Source organism: Homo sapiens, chromosome 14 (genome assembly GCF_000001405.40).
Source record: "Homo sapiens chromosome 14, GRCh38.p14 Primary Assembly".
Classification (NCBI taxonomy): domain Eukaryota; kingdom Metazoa; phylum Chordata; class Mammalia; order Primates; family Hominidae; genus Homo; species Homo sapiens.
This window is the reverse complement of record NC_000014.9, coordinates 75,613,457-75,640,918: the sequence shown is the minus strand read 5'-3', so window position 1 is coordinate 75,640,918 and position 27,462 is coordinate 75,613,457. Positions and strand designations below refer to the sequence as shown.

Below are 27,462 nucleotides of genomic sequence, written 5' to 3'. Positions count from 1 at the left end.
CTTCCAGAACAAGAAGGATGGGGAGCCCACCTCCTCCCCTAGGACTCCCTTTGCTGTTTTGTTTCTTCCCACCAAGACATACTAGGCCCTCTAATGATCTGGGCATCCTCTATGTGATCATACCAAGGAGACGGGCACCCCTGAAGGCCAGGAAGAAGTTCACAGGGAGACCTTGTGCTCAGCAGGCCTCTGGGATCCCTTGCTGCTTCTCCATCTTGCCATCAGTGACAGCCAGTCAGCATTTACAGAAGGGGCAAGGATGCCTGGTGTGTTCAACCTTCAGCTGAGAGACTATGTCCTGGGTACACAGGCCCTGTGCTGGGAGTGGGAACTTCCTGGATATTGAGCAGGATCTCCGTGGCTCTCTGGGACCTGGAAGGAGGAGCTTAGAGTCCTCCTTATTTCCATCCAGAGAGGAACCAGCTGAGGACTGAGTGCCAGCACATGCTCTCTCCCTCTTTCTCTCTTTCACATGCACATACAGACACACACACACACACACACACACACACAAACACTCATATACTGCCCATAGGAAAATAACTGGGAAGCAGAGCTGAACAAAGACTCCTGTGAAAGAGGTATTGTTTCCTATGTTTTCTCATACAACAGGTCTAGAAAATTCCAACTTTAATTTCTCCTTTTTTTTTTTTTTTTTTTGAGACGGAGTCTCACTCTGTCTCCCAGGCTGGAGTGCAGTAGTTCGATCTTGGCTCACTGCAACTTCCGCCTCCCAGGTGCCAGCGATTCTCCTGCCTCAGCCTCCCAAGTAGCTGGGACTACAGGTGTGTGCCACCATGCCTGGCTGATTTTTGTATTTTTTAGTAGAGACGCGGTATCACCATATTGGCCAGGCTGGTCTTGAACTCCTGACCTTGTGATCTGCCTGCCTTGGACTCCCAAAGTGCTGGGATTACAGGCGTTAAGCCACCGCACCCGGCAACTTTAATTTCTTACATTTTCACAATGCTTCTTGATGCTTTCATATCTATTATCTTTCTCAATCTGTCCAACAACTTGACAAGGCAGGCCACTATTATCTTTCTTTACAGATGAGGAAATTGAGGCTCAGAATGGTTAAGTGCTGTGCCCATGGTCTAACAGGTAGGCAGCAGCAAAACTGAGACCAGGACCCAGAGTCTCTGGTTCCAAGCCCTGTGTACTTTCCACAATCCCATGTTGTCCAGGCAAAACTGAAAAAGACTCTGAACAGGTTCTAGCCTCCAAGAGGTCGCGAAGGGTGTGCTTCATGCTTCATTCCATCCCAAAAGAACAGACAGCCCAGGCTGCCTTTGGAAGTACTACAAGTATTACCGAGACCCCTGGGCACCATGTCCATATCTCCTGAGGTCAGTTAGAAGGCAGCAAAGGCATCAATATTGCATTCTAGGATGCTGGAAGCTCTGGGAGCCATGGCATGGTATTTTCTAATAAATCAGCCAGAGGTGAAACTTACCCCATTGTGCCAGCAGTGATGAACACTACCCACAGGTGTCCCAGGTTCAAGGTAAACGTGTACACCACCATGCCCACCAGTGTCATGATATAGACTACCAGGGTTGTCTCTCTACAAGTAGAGGCAAAGAAATTGAATCAAACACTTCTGACTTTAATAGGCTCATTCATTCATTTATTCCACAAGCATCTATTAAGTATCTGCCGCATGTCAAGCCCTCTGCTATGTTCTTGGAGTTTTGTTTTGTTTTCAGAGACAGTGTCTTGCTCTGTTGCCCAGGCTGGAGTGCAGTGGCGTGATCACAGCTCGCTGAAACCTCTACCTCCTGGGCTCCAGCAATTCTTGTGCCTCAGCCTGCTGAGTAGCTGGGACAGTTGTGCGCATCACGCCTGGCTAATTTTTGTATTTTTCATAGAGACGGTGTTTTGCCGTGTTGGCCAGGCTGGTATCGAACTCCTGACCTCAAGTGCTCCACCTGCCTTGGCCTGCTAAAGTGCTGGGATTACAGGCCTTACAAAGCCAAGGCCTGGCCTTGTTCTTGGACATTTTCTTTCATAGAACTTTCTCTCCATGAGGGTGATGGACACTGACAGATGATGATCACACAAAAAAATTATTTAATTACATCATGATCAATGCTACAAAGGGTAAGTAAGACTAGTAAAGTATGAAGCCATCTTACGATATCTTTGTTCCCTTTCTGTAGAACCCACTCAACAATATCAATCTGCCCCTTGACTTGTCATGTCCTAGCCACAGACAAGAAGGGCAAAGCCCTTTCTCCTTCTCCCATCCCTCACCAGAAAAAAGAAAAAACAGGACAAACATCAGCCATGATGAGGTGGCGGTGACATTCAGGACTACCCCAGAAGCTGTCCAATTCTGCTTGTCTGCTTTATCCCAAGACCCATGACAATGCTGGGCAATGTGCTCTGTCACCTACAAGTTCTTCCTGTCCCTACTTGAACAGACCAACAGACCCAGCAAAGCTTTTTCTTTTCTTTTTTTTCTTTTGTCCTTTTTTTGAGATGGAGTTTCGCTCTTGTCGCACAGGCTGGGGTGCAGTGGCGTGATCTCAGCTCACTGCAACCTCTGCCTCCCGGGTTCAAGCGATTCTTCTGCCTCAGCCTCCCAAGTAGCTGAGATTACAGGCATGCGCCACCATACGTGGCTAATTTTTTGTATTTCTAGTAGAGATGGGGTTTCGCCATGTTGGCCAGGCTGGTCTCAAACTCCTGACCTCAGGTGATCTGCCCGCCTTGGCCTCCCAAAGTGTTCTAATTAGAGGTGTGAGCCACTGCGCCTGGCCCAGCAAAGCTTTTTCTGTTGAGTCTGAACTACTCCACTCCAGAGAGCAGGAACTAAGAGAGAATATTCTCTCAGCCTGAACTGAGTGCTTGACTTCCAAAGCCAATGTGAGAAACCTTCTCTATCTTCGCCCACTCCCTGTTACATTTCCCTGTGTCGATCCCCTCAGGAGTACCATCAGCAAGTCTTGGTTTCTATTTCAGTCTCACCCCCTCCTGTGCCCCTCCAGCAGTTCTCTTCCCATGTTGCCCACCTAGGACTCTGATGCAGCCCCGACTCCTGCAATTCGACCTGCATTCTTCTCCCTGCACTACCTAAGGCAGGGCATAGGCACTGCACATCCCTCTGCCCCCCTACCATGAACATCAGGACTCAGATGATGAAAGCTTTAAAGCTTTTCTTTTCTTTCTTTTTTTTTTTTTTTTTGAGATGGAGTCTTGCTCTGTCACCCAGGCTGGAGTGCAGTGGCACGATCTCTGCTCACTGCAAGCTCCGCCTCCCAGGTTCACCATTCTCCTGCCTCAGCCTCCCAAGCAGCTGGGACTACAGGGGCCCGCCACCACGCCTGGCTAATGTTTTTTGTAGTTTGTTTAGTAGAGACAGGGTTTCACTGTGTTAGCCAGGGTGGTCTCGATCTCCTGACCTCATGATCTGCCCGCCTCCGCCTCCCAAAGTGCTGGGATTACAGGCGTGAGCCACCGCACCTGGCCAAAATCTTTAAAGCTTTTCTTTACACATCACCCCTGAAGCCAGAATCATGGTGGAGGCACCAAATGGCACGCTACGGTTGTGTCAAACGAAACCCTCCATCTCTTGAGTGCCAGATTCTGTGAAGCACTTCACATGCATTTATTATTTCAATTCAACCTTTACAAAAATCCTGTAAGAAATATCTGATGATTTCTCATTTTACCAATGAAGAAACTGAAGCTCAGGCCACTCAAGTTACTTGTCCAAAGTCACCAGCTGAATAAATGCAGAGCTGAGATGTGAACTCAAAGCTGGATTTGAAACCTGTGTCCCTTCTGCTACTGCATGCGGGAATAACGATGCACTATGTGGTTGCATCTTTGGAAAAGCTCAAGGTCAGAGTCTCCAAAGGATGCTGCTCCCACCTGGTGCTTCAAAGCAGCTGCTAAGGGTAGAGGAGCTTCCTCCTCCCTTCACGCTCCTCCCTCACACTCTTCCTACCAACTCTGCTGAAAGCAACGTCATGGACGCCAGTCTTGCCCGATGATCCCACAAGCTCACCAGGATGAAGCTTTAACCATAGCTTCATCCTAAACCACTGACCAGTTTAGAAAAACTATTTGTAGTCCCAGTCTGAGATAAACAGACCTCACCACCCAATTTCCAACCTCCAAACAAAACTAGACAAATCTGGGAGCCTTAGAGTGACGAGGACTGGCTCCGAAATGATGGGATCACAGAGCTCTCATCCCACTGGGAGTTGCCTTTTCTCTGCCTGGGTAGTGGCACAGGGAGAAAAATATCTTGTGCTGACCACTGGATTTAGACATCACGTGATGCTAGGAACTGGTGACATCTAGGTTCTGAAGAGGGCTGAGAAAGTGTTCTTCCCAGTCCTCTCATTATCTTTTCTAATTCATCTGAATCATCCGGCTGCCCATGTCCCAGCCCAGCCAGCATTCCCATCCCTCCCTCCTCCTGCCGCAGAGCAAGCCCCGGAAAAAGGGTCACTGCTATTCAGTGGTTTGGGGATGGCCAGTCCTCACTGCTCTTGTGTCTGGCTGAAGCAAGCAACTAACAGATGGCAGCGATGAGATGGCAGCCAAGCCCCGCCAGCAGTAATTAAGCCGAGCCAGGCTCCTCGTCGCCACCTCCCTAGGGATGGTCTCAATTGGCCTTTGATTAGGGCAGCCAGAATGAGACCTGGTCTGACCAGGGCCTCACAGAAGCGGGTTTGTGTGGCAGAGAACAGGTCTGCCACTGTCTGTTGCCTGCAGACACTGGGAACTTTGGAGGCCTTGACAGAGCAGCCGGGGACACTGCTCTGCCCCGGTACAGTACAGCCCAACAGCTGCCCCGCCAGCCAGTGCTAACTGAGTACCCAGTGAACGGGGAGCACTGGAAAATCACAAGGGAAGGATGTTGGGCTGCTGTTCGCCAGAGGATTTTCTCCAAGGCCAGCTGCTGAATGGAGGCACCCAGGCTGCTTTCTACAAATGCAGATTCTTCTGCTGATTTGGCATCCATGGGGCGGGTAGTGGCCTGGCATTCACTAAAACCTTTTAATTTTTTTTTAACCCATGTGCACACCGATAAAACATTTTCTTTTCTTTTTTTTCTTGAGCCAGGCTGGAGTGCAGTGGCGTGAACCCAGTTCACAGCAACCTCCACCTCCTGGGTCAAGCGATCCTTCTACCTCAGCCTCCCAAATAGCTGGGACTTCAGGTGTGTGCCACTATGCCTAGCTAATTTTTGTATTTTTTGTAGAGATGGGGTTTCACCATGTTGCCCAGGCTGGTTTTGAGCTCCTAGACTCAAGCAATCCTCCTGCCTCGGCCTCCCAAAGTGCTGGGATTACAGATGTGAGTCACTGCGCCCAGCCTGATAAAACCTTTTAAAATAGCTCCAGGCTCTTAGAAATGCACTGGGCATTCAGGTCCAAAGTAAGTTATAATATTTACCAACAAGGTATAAATAATTGCACAATAATATACACTGCAAACTGGAGAAAGCTCAGAGTACCTTGGTCAACCCCATGGGGTCCACAAGGTGCCATGAGAACAGGAGAGTGAAATCACCTCCTCCTCATCTCCACTCTTTGGGGTTTCCACAAATTTTCCACCGCTGAGATTTTTTTTCCCCATTCATTTTCATTTCTCCCTCCTCTGCTGCTTTCACAAAGCTACTTAGAGAGTGGGGATGGGGAAGAGGACTATGCTAGGCCTTCAAGTCCAGTAGCTCCCATCTTCCTAAGATCCTGTGGGGATCTTAAGACGGGTATAGCTTCCCTCATTTGATAAATGAGGAAAGTGAGGCTCAGAGAAGTCAAACTTGAATGACCTGCTTGGCCACTAGGATCTCCAAACAATGACTTGGAGTCACACTGCTTATGAATATGTCATTTCAAAAAACAGGTCCCCAATTCTCAGTCCAAGAGGATGAGTCACTTACTTGTAGGTTTTGGACCTATCCAGCCAGATTCCTGAGATCACAGCCCCAAGCATTCCTGCAATGACGATCGTCAGGCCAATTCTTCCAGCATTCACTTCTTCCCCCTGGGGAAACCATAACCCCAAAGATCACCCGGCGATGGGACAAGACCCAGGACAGAGCACAGTCACCATGGGGTGAAGGAACAAAGGCAGGTAACTCAAGCTCCATCAGAGTCAATATTCAGAACATATCGGGACAAGATGGCCTAGGAGAAAATTCTAGAATAACTACTCCTCCCAACAATATAACCCTGACTGTGTGTGCATGATATTGGATGCTGGAGTGACAAGGATGAACCAAATCTGTTCTTAGAACTACTTTTAGGCAAATTTTTTAAAAAATGTAAACCTCACAGCAACTCTTCTATCTTATCTGTCATTAATTCCATTTCACAGATGGGGAATTTAAAATATATATGTTAAAATTTCCATTCTTAGGTTTTTTTGAACTATCAATGCCAAGAGGAATGGAAAGATAATAGTTATATATTTTTGAGTGCTTACTATAAGCCAGGCACCATGCCTAAGGTTTTATATCATTATCTCATTTACTCCTCGCCATTCCCCATCATAAGGTTAGGAGTCAGTCTTCTCCATTTTGCAGATGAAGAAACAGGCACAATGAAATTAACCTACTAGCCCAAGGTCACAAGGCATATGTTAAGTTCAAAGCTAGGATCTGAACTCAGGCCTTTGAACTCCAAAACTAGGACACTTAGCCATATAGTCTACCCCTTCTGCAAGTGTGAGAGCCTAGTCCTTTCAAAAGAGGGTTGCATCTCCGTATTCCTGACTCCAGGCCACTCAGTATTCCATTCCCAGCATCCAGCCCAGCCCTCGTGGGTTCTGGAAACATTTAAATTCAGAAATATTTTATATATATATTTGCCAACAGTGTTGCCAGGCACTATGCTGTATAATAAATACATGTATCACATATAATTATGTATACATACACAAGCGTCATTATTTACTCTCTGATCCTAAAAAGAACCTTGCAAGAAGCAATTATGCTTCTTTTGCAGAAAAAAAAAAAAATGAGAGCTCAGAAACACTAACTAGCTTGTCACACTGTCAAGCCATCACACAGTTTAGTAACACCAAAGCTAGGGTTGAGATCTAGGGCCATCTCCCTCCAAATCCCATAAGCATACCACCATATCACCCTACCTAGAACTGGGGGGAATGAAGACTTAACGGTCATCCCAGGTCCTGCCAAGACAGACTTAGAAACTATATCATCTTGAGGCCCAACATGCTTAGGGAACTCCCTTACCGGGTAGTGCCAGATCACCATGCGATTCAGAAGAGTGGACAAGGCATAAAAAGCACCAGCATTCAGACCTGAAGAAGGGAGCGAGAAATACAACATTAGGGTCAGCTTTCTTCTGGGGCCATTGCTAACTTCTCCCCCAGCATTTGGGGGGTGGGCAGAAATCCTCATCTCACTGCCACTCTGAGCAGTATCCTCAGAGAAGAAAACTCCAGGGAGGTCTGAGGCTACTCTGCAGTTTTCTCAAAGAAATACTTCAAAACAACCAAAAGTAACCATTTAACCTTCCCTTAGCCACACACTATTGCTCTCTGATCCCTTTAATTTGCCCTGGAAAATAGATTCTGTTGAGTATTACTCCCAGGGCAGAGTCATCTACATTCTTCTTAAGCGTTGGGTAGATCTAAGGGGTGGTCAGTAGAAGTCCTGGACACCCTCCTCTTCCTGATGACCCTGCCCCTTCTTGAGGCTGCTCCAGACCTCTGACATCTGACACCATCCCTCTGCAGGTGATTTCTCTCCTCTTTCTCCATTCCTCCTCCAACTTTCTTTGCTGATTCAATGTCACACAAAATCTATTACATGAAACTAGAAGAGATCCTAAAGAGCATTCAGTTGACTCTCCTACTTTACCAATTCATTCACCAAAGGAGCACCTAGAATATGCTGTGAAAGGCTGTATCTTTAGCGAATAAGGTCATTTGCCCAAAGTCATACAGCAAGTGAGTAGCTGAGACTGGAACTGACCCAAAGGAGAAAAGGCCTCCTGGCCTCCCTTCAATGGTGATGATGATGATGACAATGGCGGCTGCACATACCTATGGATTAGACACTTTATGACAACTCTAGAAAGTAGGTAGTATTATCGTCACCATTTTAGAGATAATAAAGATGCACACACAGTTAAAATAATAAGTACTGCCACTCCATAATGCCCACCGGGGGTCTTTCTAACTTTAACTAAACATTGAGGCTCACAAGACTACCACCGGCACACTCCATATTAGATTTACTTGGAAGGGTGTAAGTCAGGACACATAGCTTGTGGACAGGGCAGCCTCAGGAGTTCCTCTTCAATGGAACCAATCCATAGAACCCCAGTTCATATAGCCTTCCGGAAGCTACTGTCTTTCAGATGATGGCTAAGGTGCAAGGGAAGGTGGGTATGGCAACCACCCTGGCTTAATGCTCACAGGCACCACTATTACTTGTAACAATTCCGTAGGGGTAGCTTCCAGGGGCCCCATAAGTGACAGGCCAGTGAAAAGAGTCATTGTACTCCAAGAAGCACAAAGAATGGCTTCCCACAAGAATGAATAGGTCTCTCTGTCCATTTGTATCACCAGAGGACATTTTTATCATAAGCAATGTTGCCTAAAGGTAGTTGACGTACTCCCTTTATCAGGTTCCCAGGGAGTAAAAGATACAAAGTTAAGCGAAGGTCAAATTATCTTGCAAAATGGGAAATAATTTGCTTTGCAATCACACAGGTATTAAGTGATGGAGCTGGATTTGAACTCAGGCCCTGTGGCTCCAGATTTCTTGATCTTAATCACTCTGCTTTACATCCTCACAAAGCTGATTATTGAATCAGATTTTCCCAGCTCAGGTCATGAACAATTTCCTCATGTCCCAGCCTCTCCCAGCAGTTCACCCCAGGGATGCTACAAGGTTGGGCTCAATGCAGTCTCCTGAGCAGCACAGTGGGCCAACTGTGCACACAGTGAGCAGCACAGTGAGCCACAGTGGGCCAACCAACCCAGACATGTCCCCAAACATCACTACAACTGACAGGCTGATGGTTGCAATGATCATGAGGCTCTCAGCAACATCTCATTCAAGCAGCATTCCCATCTGCCCTTCATAGTACATACTCAGCCACTTAGAAAGTCCATTTCCGAGTGAAGAGATCCCGTAAGGAGACATTCCTGAAAAGCCAAGTGAGGTGGAGCGTGGGAAGGAGAAGAAAGAAAATAGTCTCCTCCCGTCTTCCCATTCATTCCTCCCGCTCCTCTCTAAGCCTCTTGCCTGCCCTAGCCTGATACTGCAAAGGGCAAGGAATGTTCCAACTCAGGCTTAGCTTCAGGGGAACAGCTGCTTTGCTAACTGGGATGAGCCAAGGATGGCAGAATCCACAGAAAAAGAAAGGAAATTATCCAGAAGGACTGGGAGCAAAAAAAATACACCAGTGCTCACTGGTCCTGATAAAGACCTGGGGAACAGAGTCCTGAACAGGTTGGCCCATACTGCTGAAGCTGAGTGGTTTTTCTGGGGCTCAATGGTTTAGTGAAATAGTTTCCAAAGTGTGGTCTCTGTTCCACCCCAGACCTACTGCAGCAGAAACTCTGGGAGTGAGGCCCCCGGCAATTTGCATTTGAATAAGCCTCCCAGGTGATTCTGATCGTGCTCCAGGTGGAAGCACTGGCTCCCTAGAGCAATGTGGTTAAACAACAGCCATCCCTGCTCCAGGCCAGACAGCAGACTGAAGCGGGGCTAAAGGGCGGCGAGAGGGAAGGAAGAGCAGGGGTTCATCCTGGAGGGCTGCCAATCTGTTCCACTGTTTCTGCAGCCCCACCTTAGAGGATTTAGGAGCTTATGTATGTTTTCTGAATCCATCTTTGGTCTAGATGTCCCTCACCATATTGTCAAAGTTTGCCAGACACAGTTAACCAGCGTAAGTCCACTCTACTGCCAAAACAAAGGGGTTGGGCATCCCACACAGAAGGGCAGGAATGAAATGCATGCTCCTTCCTGTGTGAGTACCCCTTACAGGAGTACAGGTGACTGCATTCTATTCAGGTCTGATCATCCTCAGCAAGGTGAGCCTGCTGGGCCAGGGAAGAGAAAATGTGATCTTCCCTGAAAGGCCTGGTCATTCCTGGAATCAGTCACCTGGGAGTAGTGCCACTTACTGAGGAGGCAGGCTTTAGAGAGGCAGAAAGGACTCTGTCATCATTCTGAGTCTCTTTCTCTCCTTTGTCAAAAACAATTTTTTTCTTTGTAAAAAATTTCTTTGGGGTCTCGCTATGTTTACCAGGCTGGTCTTGAATTCCTGACCTCAAACGATCCTCCCACTTTGGCCACCCAAAGTGCTGGGATTACAGGTGTGAGCCATCAAGCCCAGCCAATAACAATTTTATTCAAACTGTGTTCCGGTGACTACTGACATTAGAATTCCTTAAAGTTTAAAACTGCAGATTTTGAGGCCCTACCATAGACCTACTGAATCAGAATCTCTTGGAATGGGGCCCAGGAATCTGCATCTTTAGCAACTACAACAATAAAACCCCAATGCACTTGTTAAAATGTCTGGAATTTGAGAATACATGGCCTTCAAGATACAAAAGATCAGGGACCAGACCCAGGCTCCCAGGTGGTGGGGTTAACATGGAGGCAGCTGGGATGGGAAGGCGCTTCAAGACCCATCACACAGCTACCTCAGAGGTTCTCAACTCTGCTGCAAGTCAGAATTATCTGGGATGCTGGTAGAAAGCAGATTCCTAGGCCCCAACCCAAACTTTCTGAATCTGAATTTCCAGAAATCTATGCACACATTCAATCAAGCACCCCAGGGGGTCCTATCCTCAGGGAAGTCTGGGAAACACTGACCCCAGATCATATCTTTGGGTTTTGGTTATTCTGCGTTTCCCTTTAGTCCTTGTTTTAAAGGGCCAGCTTGACCTCGGCAAAGCTCCCAGGAATCTGGAGGATTTTATGCCCACTCCTCAGCCAGGATTTTAGAGGGGGCATGAAGCCCCCTCCCTAGGTCCATGTAGGTGGAGCAATGATAAAGTGCTGAGAGCCCCAAGGGAAGGTGAACCTTGGGATACACAAGTTGAGGCTCTGAGTTCAGATGCCAGAGGCACTGCAAGTTTATTCAGAAGCATGAATAATCTTGCTGGCAGCAAGTCTGGGGCATAACTATGGGAAAAGTACGCCCTTTGAGTATGCCATTTTCTAGAAGAGAAGCCTTTTCAACAATTCTTTTCAACAGGGCAGTTGTTATGCCATTGATAATAAGACATTAGAGGAGGCCATGTGAATGCAAGATCCAGAGACACAAAGAGAAGGTAGCCAGAGGAAGGTTCCTTTCTCCATCCCACCCTACCCTACTGTGAAACACACCAGAGACACAAAGAGAAGGTAGCCAGAGGAAGGTTCCTTTCTCCATCCCACCCTACCCTACTGTGAAACACACCAAAGACACTGGCAGACAGGTGGAATTTCTGGTTCCCTGAGTCTTCCCACATTGCCAAAGTTAAAGGAGAGAGGAAGGGTGTTTTACTGGCAGTTTCTTACTGATATGATATTTCCGCAACATCAAGCACGAGCTCCACCCCTGCACCTCTCCCCCTCTAAACTGAATTGCCAGATTTTGAAAAAAAATAGCAAATAAATACATTTATAATAAATAATAGTTCTTAGTATAAATATGCCACAAATATTGCATAAGACATATTTATATTAAAAGTATTTGTTGTTTATCTGAAATTCAGATTAACTGGATGGTCTTTATTTTATCTCTCAACCCTACCTCTAAGAGTGTAGCCAGAAGTCTAGGGAAAAGCCAGCAACACTTGGACCCTCGATTTCCTCCAAGGCCTTCAATTATCGCTGCACCTCAGTTCTGGGCAGTTGACTCATCAGCTGGGAGAACCACTTGAAAAGCCACTACAAATACAATACCACCAGCTGCAGGACAGTTACTCCCCCTCTTAGTGAAATCTGGTTTGGACCAAAGAAGCAACGCTGGAAACCAGTAAGTTTACCAATGCAATAGCATTGCAGTCTGGCAATGGCAGACTGGCAGTCTGGAGGCATGCCATGTCTTTATTCTCAACTGCATTAAAAGCTTTCACTTCCATTCAGAACACTCCAATGGGAAATAAGTATCATTACTGTTTTCTAGTGGGGGTGGAGAGTATTAAAGAGATGAAGGATGGGCAGCACAGATGGATGAAGGTGGTACACTCAGTATCTGGCAGAGCTGACACCAAAACTCAGACCTCCCATTTCTTATGAGCCAACTCTGAACTTACGAGTCCAGCACTCAAGGCTCTTAACCCAAGACATGTCCACCCATGTCCAGTACATGTGCCTGTGAAATGCTGTTGCCTGCTTAATTCCTAGCCACATGCTCTTTAAATGCATATAATTCAGAGCTAAATATGAACACTATGTGTACAATGTAAAAAGTATGAACCATTTTGTTCTTCAAAGTCCAATCTGAAACTGCAAGGGGATTAGGAGGACTGGGGTAATTCTGGAGGATTTCAAAGCATCTAGTTGAATTGATAGAGGGCATTTTAGAAAATTGTTTTTGTTGGGAGGCCAAGGCGGGCAGATCACCTGAGGTCAGGAGTTCGAGACCAGCCTGGTCAACATGGTGAAACCCTGTCTCTACTAAAAACACAAAAATTCCCTGGATGTGGTGGCGGGTACCTGTAATCCCAGCTACTCGGGAGGCTGAGTCAAGAGAATTGCTCAAACCTGGAAGGTGGAGGTTGCAGTGAGCCGAGATCATGCCACTGCACTCCAGCTTGGGCGACAGAGTAAGACTCTGTTTAAAAAAAAAAATTGTTTTTGTTTTTGTTTGTTTTAATTTGGAACAAACACAGTAGGAAAAGAAAGCAAAGATTAACAGTTGGAGTAAGTGCCTATAGTTCTCGCCCTATAGGCAAGAAGCTAAAACTCTAGAGCCTCAGTTTCCTCATGTATAAAATGAAACAAAGGGCTATGTCATGGGTTTGTTTTGAAAATTAAATGAGATAATGCATGTAAAGCAATTAACATGATTCCTCCGTCAAAAATTTTTTCAAATCTGTGATTAAGTCTAAGAATCATTTTCTTTTTGGCAAAGAACCCCATATGGACATCACATTCTCCAGAGTTTCCTTTCAGCATTTTCAGGCAGCCTCTTGTTCACCCCAACTGTTATCCCCACTGCAGGCAGCTACAATGTTAAGCAGTGCCATTGACTGTTTTCAACAAATGCCCTGGCAATAGGGCTTTTCCCATTAGCAAACTCCAAGTCAGGTTAAATAGCAACATGTCCTATGAATAGGGCTTTTCCGGGGACCTGCTAGGTAGGTCAAATAGTAATTCTCAGGGGTGGAGCTCCAAATCGACTTTGCTCCCTCCAATGGCTATGAGACAGTTGGTTTTCACAGCTCCACGGCTGCGAGGCTGCTGGATGTCACAGCCCCATGGCTGCAAGGCTGTAGTAGGGAGAAAGGGATTGGAATAGGGCAAGTGAAAACACAAGGCCCACTGTTGTTACTGATATTTAGCCATTTCTCTTGAATAAATGCTGCTTGGATTGTTGCAAGCCATTTGTTAAAAGTTCTGAAAAAATTCATTTGGATATTTTTTGCCATTGTTCTTGTTTCTATAGAGGAGCGGATTTTCTAAGGTCCTTACTCCACCATTCAAGAAGTGCTTTCCTATTTATTTCCTCGGTTATCATTTAATCAAATAGATAAGGAAAAGTGTCCAGAAGTACAGGATTAAAACTACTTTGTCAGATTAAAGACCACGTAAGCAAACAGGCATGTGAGAGGAAGGAGGAGGAGTAGCTTTGCTCCCCACAGCATGGCCTAGGCTTGACCCCTCGATGACCAGGAGCAACAATGTTTCTGGTACATTTTGTCTCTGTTTCTTGTTCTCATGAGTCAGTGACCTGGCCCTAAGACCAACAACCTCCAGCACTGAGGACCACAGCCTTTGGAATGGGACCATTGCCCAGTTATCACCACTGTCACCATTTTCAGCTATAGAAAATATTTATGAAGCACTCATCTGCCCTAGAATCCCAGGTAGGCCTCAAATATCCTCTTGTTAGATGCAGCAAGATTTATGGTTGTCAGAGGTCAATGCACTCATGATGTCCAACTCTAGCGAAAGTAAAAGCTCTTAGAGTCATGGAATCCTGAGTCTAGAAGGGCCCCCAAAGGCCATCTGGTTTCACTATCCATCTTTAGCCTGAGATCCCCTACAACATTCCCATCAAGTGGTTAGTCCCATCTATGCTTGAATACCTTCCGGTGATGGGGAACTTGTAACTTCCTTAGTTGGACTTCTCTAAGCATTGGAAACTTTGTCTTTATTTTGCGGATGAATGGGGAGACATACTCAGAGAATTGAGAAACTGGAGGAAATGAGGAACGGAGGACCAAGATCTTGAAGACAAACCTACAGCTATTCCAGATGAAAGGTCACCTAATTTCTATGTATGCCTGAAAAACAGGATTGCCCCTCTACCAGGATGAAGCCACCTCTTATCTAGTGTTTCAGCAGATAAACATTTTAGTTGAGATAAAATGTATTGTTGAGCCTAAAATGAAACTCTGGCACAATTCTAGGAAGGAACATCAGCAATTACAGAACAGGCATTAAGAATGCAGATTTTGGCTGGGCGCAGTGGCTCACACCTGTAATCCCAGCACTTTGGGAGGCCAAGGTGAGCAGATCACCTGAGGCCAGGAGTTTGAGACCAGACTGGCCAACATGACAAAACCCTGGCTCTACTAAAAATACAAAAATTAGCCGGGCATGGTGGCATGTGCCTGTAATCCCAGCTACTCGGGAGGCTGAGGCAGAAGAATTGCTTGAGCCGGGGAGGCAGAGGCTGCAGTAAGCCCAGATCGCACCACTGCACTCCAGTGTGGGCAAAAAGAGGCAAACTCTGTCTTAAAAAAAAGAAAAAAAGCAAAAGAATGAGACTTTGGAGTTAGACAAACTTGTATTTGAACTCTGGCTCTGCCACTTGAAAGTTGTGTGACCTTGGGCTAGTTATTTGGCCACTTTGAGTTTAGTTTCCTCATCTGTTAAATAGGGATAATTTTAGTACCAACATCACATAGGTGTACTGGAAGTTAAATAAAATCAGATATGAAAAGCACCTGACACATAGTAAGCACTATTGTTGTTATAAAACATAAAACAATAGCTTTTGAGTCTATAGGCAACATGAAGCCATGGCCAACTGGGGTTTCACTAAGAATAAGTCATGTCAAACCAATTTCATTTCTTTGTTTCATATGGTTACGGTACATGTCACAGATTTGCTAACGCTTAGTTTTAATCAAACTTTAACTGGTGGATTAAATGACCAAATGTAGGCTGAATAGCAATAAAGGTGGGTAGATATGTAGCAGCTTGAACTAAGGGTACTAACTAATAGACTGGCATTCATCTGGAGGACACTCTTTAGTGGAATGCTATGAGGCTCTGTCTTTGCCCTTGTTCGATCCAACAATCTTATTACAGGTTTGAAATAAGATACAGAAAACACCATGCGGGGAAAGAAAGCCAACATGTTAGCATAAAGATTCCAATTTATCTTTCCAAGAGCCAAGCAAATGAAATGAAAGAGGGATGTTGTTGTGCATTCAGATAAAATAGAAGTCAATTACAGGATGAGGGAGGACTGGTTGAGGAGTGACTCATGTGGCAAGACACATATATGCATGCATGCATTAATTAATTAACTAATTCAGTAACTACTGGAATAGTCACTCGAGGCCCGACACTGCTGAGGAACTATAAAGATGAAAAACATAAATCCACACTCAGAGAGTTCAGTCTAATGGGGAAATAGACCTGCAAAAAAATTTTTTTTTAATGACAGGTGTTAAGATGTACAAGGAATAGCATGGTAAGAGAGGGAAAGTTACCTACTACTGCTTTACAAAAGTGATACTGAGATGAGACTTGGAGGACCAACAGGCATTTGTCAGATAACCTGACATGGGAAGAAATTATTTTCTAGGTGGACTTTACAACACATGCAAAGGCCCTTGGGCATAGCTGGGTCCTCTGGATTGACCCTAGACAACAGCTTTACATGCACATTTGGGATTTAGAAAGAGTAATATATGAAGACACATCAGGCCTCTCATCTAACATTTCCAGCTCGAATGCATTCCTAGACACATTGACACCTTACCATAGGTGATGACAAGCAGCACAAAGTTGAGATTTTTGAAGAGCCGGGCGATGGAACCTAAGTATGAGGCATCAGGAGAGGTCAAGGCATAGCTCAGGGATTGGGCCCTGCTGGGGGGATATTTAGGTTTCTCCTTGAACACTGAAAGGAAAAAAACAGAGATGGCTGAAAATTCCCATGGTCCCACCCCAGAAGAGCTGGTTCCACATGAATGAAAGCTGCTCCATCATCTGAGAGGAGCTAAGACTCCCAAAGGAAATAGTAATTCTTTAATTAAACCCTTAACAGCCCCCTTCTTGAAGCTGCTTCTCATTGTTTGAGGCTGAGTGAATGGTCCTTTGATACCATTCACTTTTTTATTTTTTATGCCATTTTCTTTTTTTTTTTCTTTATTTTTTTTGAGACGGAGTCTCGCTCTGTCACCCAGGCTGGCGCCATCTCGGCTTACTGCAACCTCCACCTCCTGGGCTCAAGCAATTCTCCCATCTCGGCCTCCTGAGTAGCTGGGACTACAGGCGTATGCCACCACACCTGGCTAATTTTTTGTATTTTTCATAGAGATGGGGTTTTGCCATGTTGCCCAGGCTGGTCTCAAACTTCTGAGCTCAAGCGATTTGCATGCCTCAGCCCCCCATAGTGCTGGGATTACAGGCGTGAGCCACCGCACCCGGACTGATTACTTCTGCTTTTCTTTTTTTTTTGAGACGAAGTCTCGCTCTGTCGCCCAGGCTGGAGCACAGTGGTGTGATCTTCGCTCACTGCAGCCTCTGCCTCCCGGGTTCAAGTGATTCTTGTGCCTCAGCCTCCTGAGTAGCTGGGACCACAGGCATACACCACCAATGCCTGGCTAATTTTTGTATTTTTAGTAGAGACGAGGTTTCACTATTTTGGCTAGGCTGGTCTTGAACTCCTGACCTCAAGTGATCCACCCACCTTTGCCTCCCAAAGTGCTGGGATTACAGGAATGAGCCACCACACCCAGCCCTGATTATTTTTTTTTAAATCACCTCTGGAAGGCTGAAATCACTGGACCTCCCAGGCAGTGTTCAAAGATCAAGGAAACTCATAATAACCAGCAAATAACATACCACAGAGAACTGAAAAAACACACTAGCAACACATGATGGAAAAGCAGCAAAAGCTTTCTCATCCTGGATTCTTGGTGGGGAACAATGCAATGAGAACGGTTGAATGAGGTACCCAATTATATAACTGCTTGACTCTGGAGGTGGGGTCAGTAGGCAGGAATGAAACCTTTAACATGTGAGGTGGAACTTTCAAGTATTAGGAAGAAAGCTGGTTAACCTTTAGACAGGTGACTAACTGAAAATAAAAACCTCTGTCTTGCTGGTTCTAAGTTTATCATAGCCCATATAATATCACCCAGCTGAAAAAAAGGGATGTAAAATTATCTTACCAAATACCTCAATCATTAAATGTACATGGATATAAAATATTAACAGTAGTGGCCGGCCAGGTGTGGTGGCTCATGCCTGTAATCCCAGCACTTTGGGAGGCTGAGGCGGGTAGATCACTTGAGGTCAGGAGCTCGAGACCAGCCTGGCCAACATAGTGAAACCCTGTCTCTACTAAAAATACAAAAATTAGCCGGACATGGTGACAGGCACCTGTAATCTCAGCTACTCGAGAGACTGAGGCAGGAGAATCACTTGAACCCAGGAGGCAGAGGTTGCAGTGAGCTGAGATTGTGCCACTGCACTCCAGCCTGGGTGACAGAGCAAGACTCCATCTCCAAAAATAAACAAATAAATAAATAAATAAATAAAACATTAACAGTAGATATCTAAGGTTTGTGGTTGGGATTAACTTGTACAATGACAAGTTAATGGTCATTCCTTTCTCTATGCTTTTTTGTATTTTCTAGATTTTTCTATAATAAGCATATGTTACTCTTATAATTTTTTTAAAAGGCATTAAAGAACTATGATCCCCAAGTACTGTCAGGTTAATCTATGAAATTATTAGTTTTATGGATCAATTTCAGTTTTTTTTTTTTAGAAATTTAGAATAGGGACATAGACAAGCTTAGACTTGAATCCAATCTCTGCCACTTACGAGCTATCTAATCTCAAACAGTTTATATAACTTCCCTTAAGTCTCATTTTTCTCTTTGTTAAATAGGACTGATAGTGGTGCCTCACTGATAGGGCTGTTGACAACTAAATGAAATCAGGCATGCTCAGTACAGTGCCTGTGATGGCCTAAGTGCTCAGTGGGTTTCATCAAGGGGACTAGCACTCTACCCATTACTTCTGATGAGGTAGGACTGGGGAACTGGTTAATGACAATTAAACCTTTCCTTAGCCACTAACAAAGTGCATAGGACCAGCTACCACTGTGTGGGGACAACTGCCCAGGCTAAAACATTTGAAGACCATAAGAAGCCCAGACTCCAGTTTCTGTAAATATCCATGGTATTTCAGGGCATGTTCACAAGGGTCCCATCAAAGTCAGCAGAATCTCCCTGCCCCTTCGCCCCCTGCTACCCCATCTGTTTACTAATGACCTTACCAATGATGACAAGGATGAGGAGGAGAGTGGCCACACCTCCTATTATATAGAACATGATGCTGATGTGGTAGGCAAGCTCGTCCCGGTCTTCAATGTTGGGTACCAAAACAGGAGGGACCAAGAACCCAATCGCAATTCCAAGCTATAGAAGACAGAGACAACCCAATCACAGTTACCAATGGCCAAGAGGTGACAACACAAATGTAAAGAGATTCCTAATAAGAAATCTAATTTCCAACTTCCAATCCTTCCTAACACCCATGCAGGGATTATTTCTCACCTCAAAACACCAGAGAAATCTTTCTTCTGACTGACATTTTGGCTCATACATCCTTCTGACCACCCTCACTATCAATGCCTATTATAAGAACATGTAGTTGATGGTCTCAGTGCGGGCTGGCTCTTCTCTAGCTGCAAATTGATGAAAAATGGTTCCTCTACTCCCATATCTGGAGTAGACTAAAATAACATTGATCATTATTTTCTTGTGCTACTCAAATTTTTAGTTTCACTGAATCTGTTAACCCAGAGCTGAGAGCCCAGCTGGGGAGAAATTCTATACCCTGCAAGCCCAAGAACTTGCATTCAGTAAGAGTTGGAAGGCTAAAGCTGTTACCACATTTACAAGCATGGAAGCTTCAGTTTATTGTGTGAATAACGTAGTAACTTCTAAAGCATCTGTAGTGTGAAGTCACACATAACTGCATAAATTTATACACATAGGAGATAGGCACGTAAAAAATGGCTATAAACACACACACACCCCCAACAAATTAAACCATTTCTTTTTTTTTTCTTTTTCTTTTTTTTTTTTTAAATGGAGTCTCGCTGTGTCGCCTGGCTGGAGTGCAGTGGCGCAATCTCGGCTCACTGCAGCCTCCGCCTCCTGGGTTCAAGCAATTCTCCTGCCTCAGCCTCCTGAGCAACTGGAACTACAGGCGTGCGCCACACCTGGCTAATTTTTGTATTTTTAGTAGAGACGGGTTTCACCATGTCGGCCAGGATGGTCTCCATCTCTTGACCTCGTGATCCACCCGTCTTGGCCTCCCAAAGTGCTAAACCATTTCTTATCTGGGTTGGAGTCCAAACTCCAGTGACCGACAGATAACATGACTTGGGTGTTTCCGAGGTCAGAAAGGCTTGGCTTCAGTACTGACTGGCTGTGATACAATTCCCAAAAGCCCTTCTGCTGCACATAATATTGAGGCGGAAATGGGAAAATAGCTTGTGAACTCAGGCAAGCTTCAGATTCCAAGAGTGAAGGAAGATGAGTAATTCCTTTGTCGTAAGGTCTCATTTTTCCTTTGTTGTACTTGAAAGAGCTACAGGTAAAGAAACAATTTGCTTTCGCTCCTCACTTTCACATCATCCATCAACTGCCAATCTGCTGACCCCCTTGATTCGTTTTTCCTTCTGTCAATTACAGCCATTCAAGATGTTTACTAGTGGTTCTCAGTTCTGGAATATTCACAAAAGTGGTCACTCATAGTTGCTGTGTAGAGTTCTTTATACCAGTATGTAATCAATTAACCAAATGCATCTTTAAAACGTACTCTGCTAGATATTTTAGAAAGTACCAAGAGGTATAAGACAGAGTTTCTGCCTTCAAGGAGCTTAATAATCTGTTAGCAGGAAAAATGTTAAAACAAAAATACAACAGATAACACAACTGGCCATATTTGTGGGTTAAAATGATAGAATATTACAGTTTGAAAGTTCATCTGTAATCGTTTATTATAATTACAAACCCAATAATTACAGGAGAAAACAAAGGCCAAGTGAGGTTAATTGAGCTCTGTGACTTGTTGAGGGTCACCCAGAGTTCTAGCAGAGTGGAGGTGAGAAAGCAGATCTCCTGGCTTCTCTGGCCAGTGCATCCCAGGCTAAGAGCCTGGAGAAAGGCCCAGGCAGGCAGGCTTCTGCAGAACAGAGGCCTCTTTTGTGTCCTTGGAGCTTTAGCTGATCCTTGGTCATACTGGTTTGTCAGAGTCAGGCTTCCTACTGCTCATCTTCAAGACTTTAATTGAAGGTAGAAACCAGCCACAAGCAGAGGGGCAAATGCAACCTTCTTCATAGCTGGGAAGCTGGGCCCACTCCAGCTCATATATGGCCTTCTAAGCACTTTGGAGTTGGAGGTCTGGAAGTTAAGTAGAATCTCCCAGGGTCCCATTTGCAAGAGTGAGGAAAGATACAGACATCATCTGAGGCTCTGTGACTCTTTCATTTCCAAAGGAAAATTAAAGCTCTGAGGTCCCAACACAGGATATCTTAATTCTCAGTTAATCTTCTGCCCCATTAAAGAAATCCTCCCAGCTGGTGCTACACTGTATGCCCTCCTCCTCTGGGGCAGCTGGACTCTGTTCATTCCATCTATACACCAAGCTTGAGTGAGTGCTGTTCCACCCCAACTCCGGCTTTTAAGCCTTCTCCAGGCAGCAGGTTGGATGGGTGGGCCTTAGCAGTGGCCTACAGTAACCCCAGCTGGGCAGCAACACTGTCTCATGGTAACCTTTCTCAAGGAGGAAATTGGCTATGGAGGTACATTTATGCCCAGTGTGGAAAACCAAAACATCAGGATTAGACTGTAAGCTGCTTCCTCTTTTGTTTTTTCAATACATATTTTTTTCCTGCTTCTTAAGAGCAGTGTTTAGGGAGAGTCTATTTCTAGTTCCTAGTATATAGGTCTGTTCCATAGTCATGATGGATGGATGGATGGATGGATGGATGGATGGATGGATGGATGAGCAGATGAACGTTGGTGGAAAATCCTGTCTACACAAAGCTAGGAATGACACATCTCTCTATTAAGGTCCAGGTTCTTTCTACATTGTACTCACAGTGGTAAGAAAAAAAAATGTGTATGGGAAAGTAAGGAGAGGGTAGGATACCCTAGTGTATCTTGAGCATCTACTATGCGCCGAATATGTAATACACTTTATCTTTTCATTTAACCCCAATAACTTTATTTATTTTTAATTAATTATTATTATTTTCTGAGACGGGGTCTCACTCTGTCACCAGGACGGAGTGCAGTGGCATGATCTCAGTTCACTGCAACCTCTGCCGCCTCCCAGGTTCAAGTGATTCTCCTACCTCAGCCTCCCAAGTAGCTGGGATTACAGGTGCCCACCAACATGCCTGGCTAATTTTTGTATTTTTAGTAGAGACAGGGTTTCCCCATGTTGGCCAGGTTGGTCTCAAACTCCTGACCTCAAGTGATCTGCCCGCCTCGGCCTCCCAAAGCGCTGGGATTACAGGCGTGAGCCACTGCACCCAGCCTATCGCCAATAACTTTGTAACAACAAAAAAGAGAGAGGGCAAAAAAAAAAAAAAAACCCTGCTGCTCAGCACCCTGCCCAGGGTCACACAGGCAGCTAGCAGAGGAGCTGGGCTCCTAAGCCAGTTCTGTCTGATGTCAGAACCCAGGCTCACTTTGCTGCCTTCCATGAAATGTTGGTGTGATACTAGTCAACACGGAAGTCTACATTTTCACCCATTTGGGTTGTCATTCATTTGACAGGAAACCTCTGGGGTACAAATCAGAGACCTGGGGCCTGAATCAGTGAAACATTAATTTAAAATGTGGGAGAACGGGGCACATGGAGCATTTGGCATCTTTCCTGGAGACCCACCTTGGGAAGGCAAATGAATGAATGTCACTGCTAACTGGTTTTGAGTTGACTTACATCCCTGCACTTGTTCTAGTTTTATCATTCTCAACAAAACACAAAGTCATGGGCAAAATACAAAATTCATGGTCAAACCAAGTCATAGTCTTAGCTCTTCTGGAACATACTTTTCAAAATTAGGCTCTCTTCATTTTTACCCATCCCATAGCAGTATTTCCCAAACTTGTCCCATAACAAACGTCACCAGTACCAACCCCGTTTTTATCCCTCAGGTCTGAGGTGGGTCCTAGGTACCTGTATTTTCATATGCAGGCATCCCCATCTTCATCAAGGGAGTTGGGGAGATACTGGCCTCTGAAAAAGTATGACTCATGCCTCCTAATAGCTTCCATGCAGCTCTGCTCCTAGCTATTTTCCATGATAGCCAGCCATCTTTGGAAAACGTCCTGCTTAACACCCTGCAGTGACTTCTCCTTGCTTTAAATTAGAGGTAAAAATCCTAAGCACAGCCCACAAGGTTCTGCACATGGGCTCTGTCTAATGGTCTGACCCTTGTCACCAGCTTGTTCCTCAGGACTTTGCTACACTGAGCTCCTTTCTGTCTTTCAAGTGACCATGGGGAGTTTGCACCAGCTCCTCTACCTGGACTAGAATCTCTCTCTGCCCTGTTTCAGCTAGTCAATGCAGATATCCTTCAGGTCTGAGTGCAAATCCTGCTTCCTCAGGAAGGTTGCTCTAATCCCTTACATGAGGTTGGGTTCCTGCATAGGTAATTTTATATTTGTATGATCATTTAATTAACATCTGTCTTCCCAACCAGATTATAAGCTCCATGAGGGCAGGGCTCACACTGATCTCTGCAGGCTGGCACATGATAATACTCATCATAGTAAAATGTATGAGCTTTATGCAGAGTATCTCAAGCCTCACAACAACCCCAGAAAGAGGGGTCTAACATCGTCCCAATTTTACAGATGATGAAGCTGAGATGCAGGAAGGCTAACTGACTTGCTCAAGGTCACACAGCTATAGGTAGCAAAGCTAGAGTTTTCAACATACAGTATTTCAAAGTTAGGTAAGCTTTACAACTATAGTTTACTTCATCCCAATAGAGGGTGTTTAACAAAAAATGTGATGAATGAAGGGATGGAGAGGCAGCCTGGGATATTTAATTTTCATTTTCTATTTTATTTTCACCCTTTCTGCAAACTCAAAGGTGACCTCTAAATGCTACTGTAATGTCAGTAATCAGGAACGTTTCCAGAGCAAATGTCACAGTTAAAAACATGTCTATGTCGTCTGAGGGCCCTAGGTGACAGGGAGAAGCCATACTTTGAATGATGTCTCACTTGTGATTCTAGCTCATGCATTTGGCAGAGCAAGAATAAAACCAGAAAATCATCAGGCTGCGTCTGGGGTAAGATTTCCATACCCAACCCATTACACAACACAACACACATGCTATGCCAGCTCTGAGATCCACAGAACCACTGTTTCCCATCCTCTTCCACCATCCACTGTCCCCACCCACCATTCACAAAGCCCTAAGTCACAATTGAATCAGAACCCTAGCACACAGATGCCCTCCTAAATCCTACCTAGTCATGGGGCCAGAATATGGCCAGGCCATCCAGGGAGGATCCAAGAGCTTCCCCAAAAGGCAAGGCAAGGAGCTCTTTGTCCACACAGTGGTGAGGGCTTCAGTCCAAATGGAACAGGAAAAGAACCAGTAGTCCCCATCTGAGCCTTTTGCTGGGTCCCAGGCAGCTTATCCTCTTGACCCAAGCCACTGGCAAGGTGGATCCTGCTCCTGTTAGGAGACAACAACCTCCACAAACAGGTTCTCACCTACTGAAACTCATTCCTCTCCCAACGTGCTGTGCTATTCAGACAAAGGCAAGCCCACCCTCACCCCTAGGGCTGGGCCCCAATTTGCTCAAACCAATTGGCTCATTCCTCTCCCCTGGGCATAATCACTGGGTATGGCTGGACATGTTCCCTTAGATTTCAGAGCTCTCAGGAGCTATCTTCCTAGTGCTGAGTCAAAAAAGTCCATACTCCATAAACATGTAAAATGCCATGTATCAATTAAAAAATATATATATGTATGTATCCCTTTATTGAGCCAGCTGCTTTCTTTGCACCAGAGTCCCTGAGGCTGAAGGCTTCCATCAAATTTGGTCCCTTTATGACCTAATCTGGGGCTTGCCTCATGCCCATGCTATGCTATTTTTATTTTTTAAATTAAAAAAAATTTTTTTTTTTTGAGACAGAGTCTCACTCTGTCGCCAGGCTGGAGTGCAGTGGCGCAATCTTGGCTCACTGCAACCTCCGCCTCCTGGGTTCAAGCAATTCTCCTGCCTCAGCCTCCCAAGTAGCTGGAACTACAGGATCATGACACCATGCCTGGCTGATTTTTTAATTTTTTGTGGAATTGGGGTCTCTCACTATGTTGCCTAGGCTGGTCTCAAGTGGTCTTCCCATCTCAGCTTCCCAAAATATTGAGATTACAGGTATGAGCCACCATAACTGGACTTACGCTATTTTTTTTTTTTTTTTTTTTTTGAGATGGAGTCTCACTCTGTCACCCAGGCTGGAGTGCAGTGGCACGATCTCGGCTCACTGCAAGCTCCATCTCCCGGGTTCATGCCATTCTCCTGCCTCAGCTTCCCGAGTAGCTGGGATTACAGGTTCCCGCCACCACATCTGGCTAATTTTTTTTTTTTTTTGTATTTTTAGTAGAGACAGGGTTTCATGTGTTAGCCAGGATGGTCTCAATCTCCTGACCTTGTGATCCGCCCGCCTCGGCCTCCCAAAATGCTGGGATTATAGGCATGAGCCATGACGCCCAGCCGGCCTTATGCTTTTTTAAATGAATCTCCCACTTCTCCTTTCTGCTTCAACATTCCTCAGAGACATCATCATACTAATATAGTGCTTAAGGGCTCAGGGTCAGGGGTCAGAAAGATCTCAATTCAAATCTCGGCCCTACCAGTTACTAGAGCTTGGCAAGTTAATTGACCTCTCTGTGTGTTTCCTAATCCACAAGAGGAAGAAAATACCACCTAGCTCATCGGGCTGAGGCTCACTCCCTGTCTGCAGGGTTGGCCCTTTCCCACACACTCTCACACAGCAGAGGTGACAGGCAGCAGAGGCCACTGGGACTCCCAAGATGCACTTGGTTTATTTGGGGAAGTCATACAAACCATCATCCTACCCTGGTTCTGCTTCACTTCCTTCTCTGGCTCCATCTGCGTGTCCTTCCTCAATTATCTTAGTCATCTTTGACTCTGCCCTCTTATATGCACTTCGTCTCAGATCCTCCCAAACCCTTCTGCAAAGTCCTCTTTGAATCTGCCCTGTCCCACTTCGGACCTTTCTGCCTTTCTCCCAGGCAACTGTGATCTCTCCTCTGCCCGACCTGCATGATGTACTCACATTCATGGTCCTTGGCGTTGCATTGACCCCACCGTCCCTGCTTAAAGAACTTCAAGGTGTCAGCCCTCTCAGAGGAAGGAAGCAGGTCCAAACCCCTCAGCTACTGTTCTTAGCCATTGATTTGGTTTGGCTCTGTGTCCCCACCAAAATCTCATCTCGAATTGTAATCCCCATGTGCCAAGGAAGGGGCCTGGTGGGAGGTGACTGGATCATGGGGGCAGTTTCTCCCATGGTATTCTCATGGTAGTGAGTTCTCACAAGACCTGATGGTTAGAAAAATGTTTGACAGTTCCTCCTTCAGACGCTCTCTCTCTCGCTCTCTTGCCTACCACCATGTAAGATGTGCCTGTTTCCCCTTCCACCATGATTGTAAGTTTCCTGAGGCCTCCCTAGCCATTTGGAGCAGTGAGTCAATTAAACCTCTTTTCTTTATAAATTACCCAGTTTCAAGCAGTTCTTTATCACAGCGTGAAAACAGACTAATACAGCTGTCTTTGCTAGTTTCAACCTTCCTTTCCAGACCCTTCTCTTCTGTATCCCTATAAATCCCCTATATTCCAGCCAGATTGAACAAGTCATGATTCCAACCTTCCCATCATCTCGTCTATACCTTTATCCCAAGTTATCCCCTTTTTAATCTTTCAGAGCCCATCACCATGTGAATTCTCTCACAGAGCTTTCCTTGACGATCCTCACTAGGCGTGATTGCCTTGCTCTAACTTCCTCTAATCTTTGGGTTGTCAGTCATTTTCCTGATACTTGCTAGTCTGGCGCTTACTCAATACATGGTTGTTGAAAGAATGAGCTGCAGTTAACTGGCATGTCAGGAAAGCACCATTGCCACTGCACATTTGTCATGTGAGCCCAGAACTGTGGAAAGATGTGGTTGGAAATTTAAGTCTAGACAAGGTTCTCAGAGAAAGTTTGATACTTTAAAAAGCATGGTTGAGGATCCTTTTAAAATAAGAGCCTCATAAAAGATACATTGAGGTTCAATCTAGACTTTCACACATTGGATTACTGTAAGCCCATCAACCCAAATGAGCAATTTTAAAGCATTCAGTATGATGCTGTCCTTGCCAAAGGATGTTTTACATGATACAGTTATTAGGTAAATGTGTATATCTACATACCTCTATGCACACTACCAATGATTTTATGGCCTAAAGATTAATCTGAAGTTAAGTTCACAGAGTAGGGCAGCTGAGGAAAACTTCAGCTGCACAGACAACTTGGGAGAAAGTGTTACTATGTAAAGGGGCATGATGGGTTTGGATGTTGTCCCCTCTAAAGCTCATGTTGAGGCTGGGTGTGGTGGCTCATGCCTATAATCCCAGCACTTTGGGAGGCCAAGGTGGGTGGATCATTTGAGGTCAGGAGTTTGAGACCAGCCTGGCCAACCTGGTGAAACCCTATCTCTACTAAAAATACAAAAATTAGCTGGGCATGGTGATGTGCACCTGTAATCCCAGCTACTCGAGAGGCTGAGGCAGGAGAATCGCTTGAACCCGGGAGGCAGAGGTTGCAGTGGGCCAAGATGTGCCACTGCACTCCAGCCTGGGCAACAGAGCAAGACTCCATCTCAAAAAAAGAAAAAAGAAAAAGAAAAAGAAATCTCATGTTGAATTGTAATCTCCAGTGTCGGAGGTGGGGCCTGGTGGGAGGTGATTGGGTCAGGGGGGCAGATTTCTCATGAA

At 45.3% G+C, this 27,462-nt stretch overlaps 1 protein-coding gene across 2 annotated transcripts in view; it reads right to left on the bottom strand.

The window, feature by feature from the left end:
* The window catches only part of FLVCR2 (FLVCR choline and putative heme transporter 2), a 69,548-nt gene that overhangs the window by 7,249 nt on the left and 34,837 nt on the right, over window positions 1-27,462 (bottom strand). For both annotated transcript variants that reach the window (NM_017791.3, NM_001195283.2), the window contains exons 2-6: window positions 18,699-18,840; window positions 16,167-16,307; window positions 7,223-7,290; window positions 5,906-6,009; window positions 1,457-1,567 (exon numbers count right to left, since the gene is read on the bottom strand). In NM_017791.3, the coding sequence (NP_060261.2) occupies window positions 1,457-1,567; window positions 5,906-6,009; window positions 7,223-7,290; window positions 16,167-16,307; window positions 18,699-18,840 (566 nt within the window). The remainder of the gene's footprint in view (window positions 1-1,456; window positions 1,568-5,905; window positions 6,010-7,222; window positions 7,291-16,166; window positions 16,308-18,698; window positions 18,841-27,462) is intronic.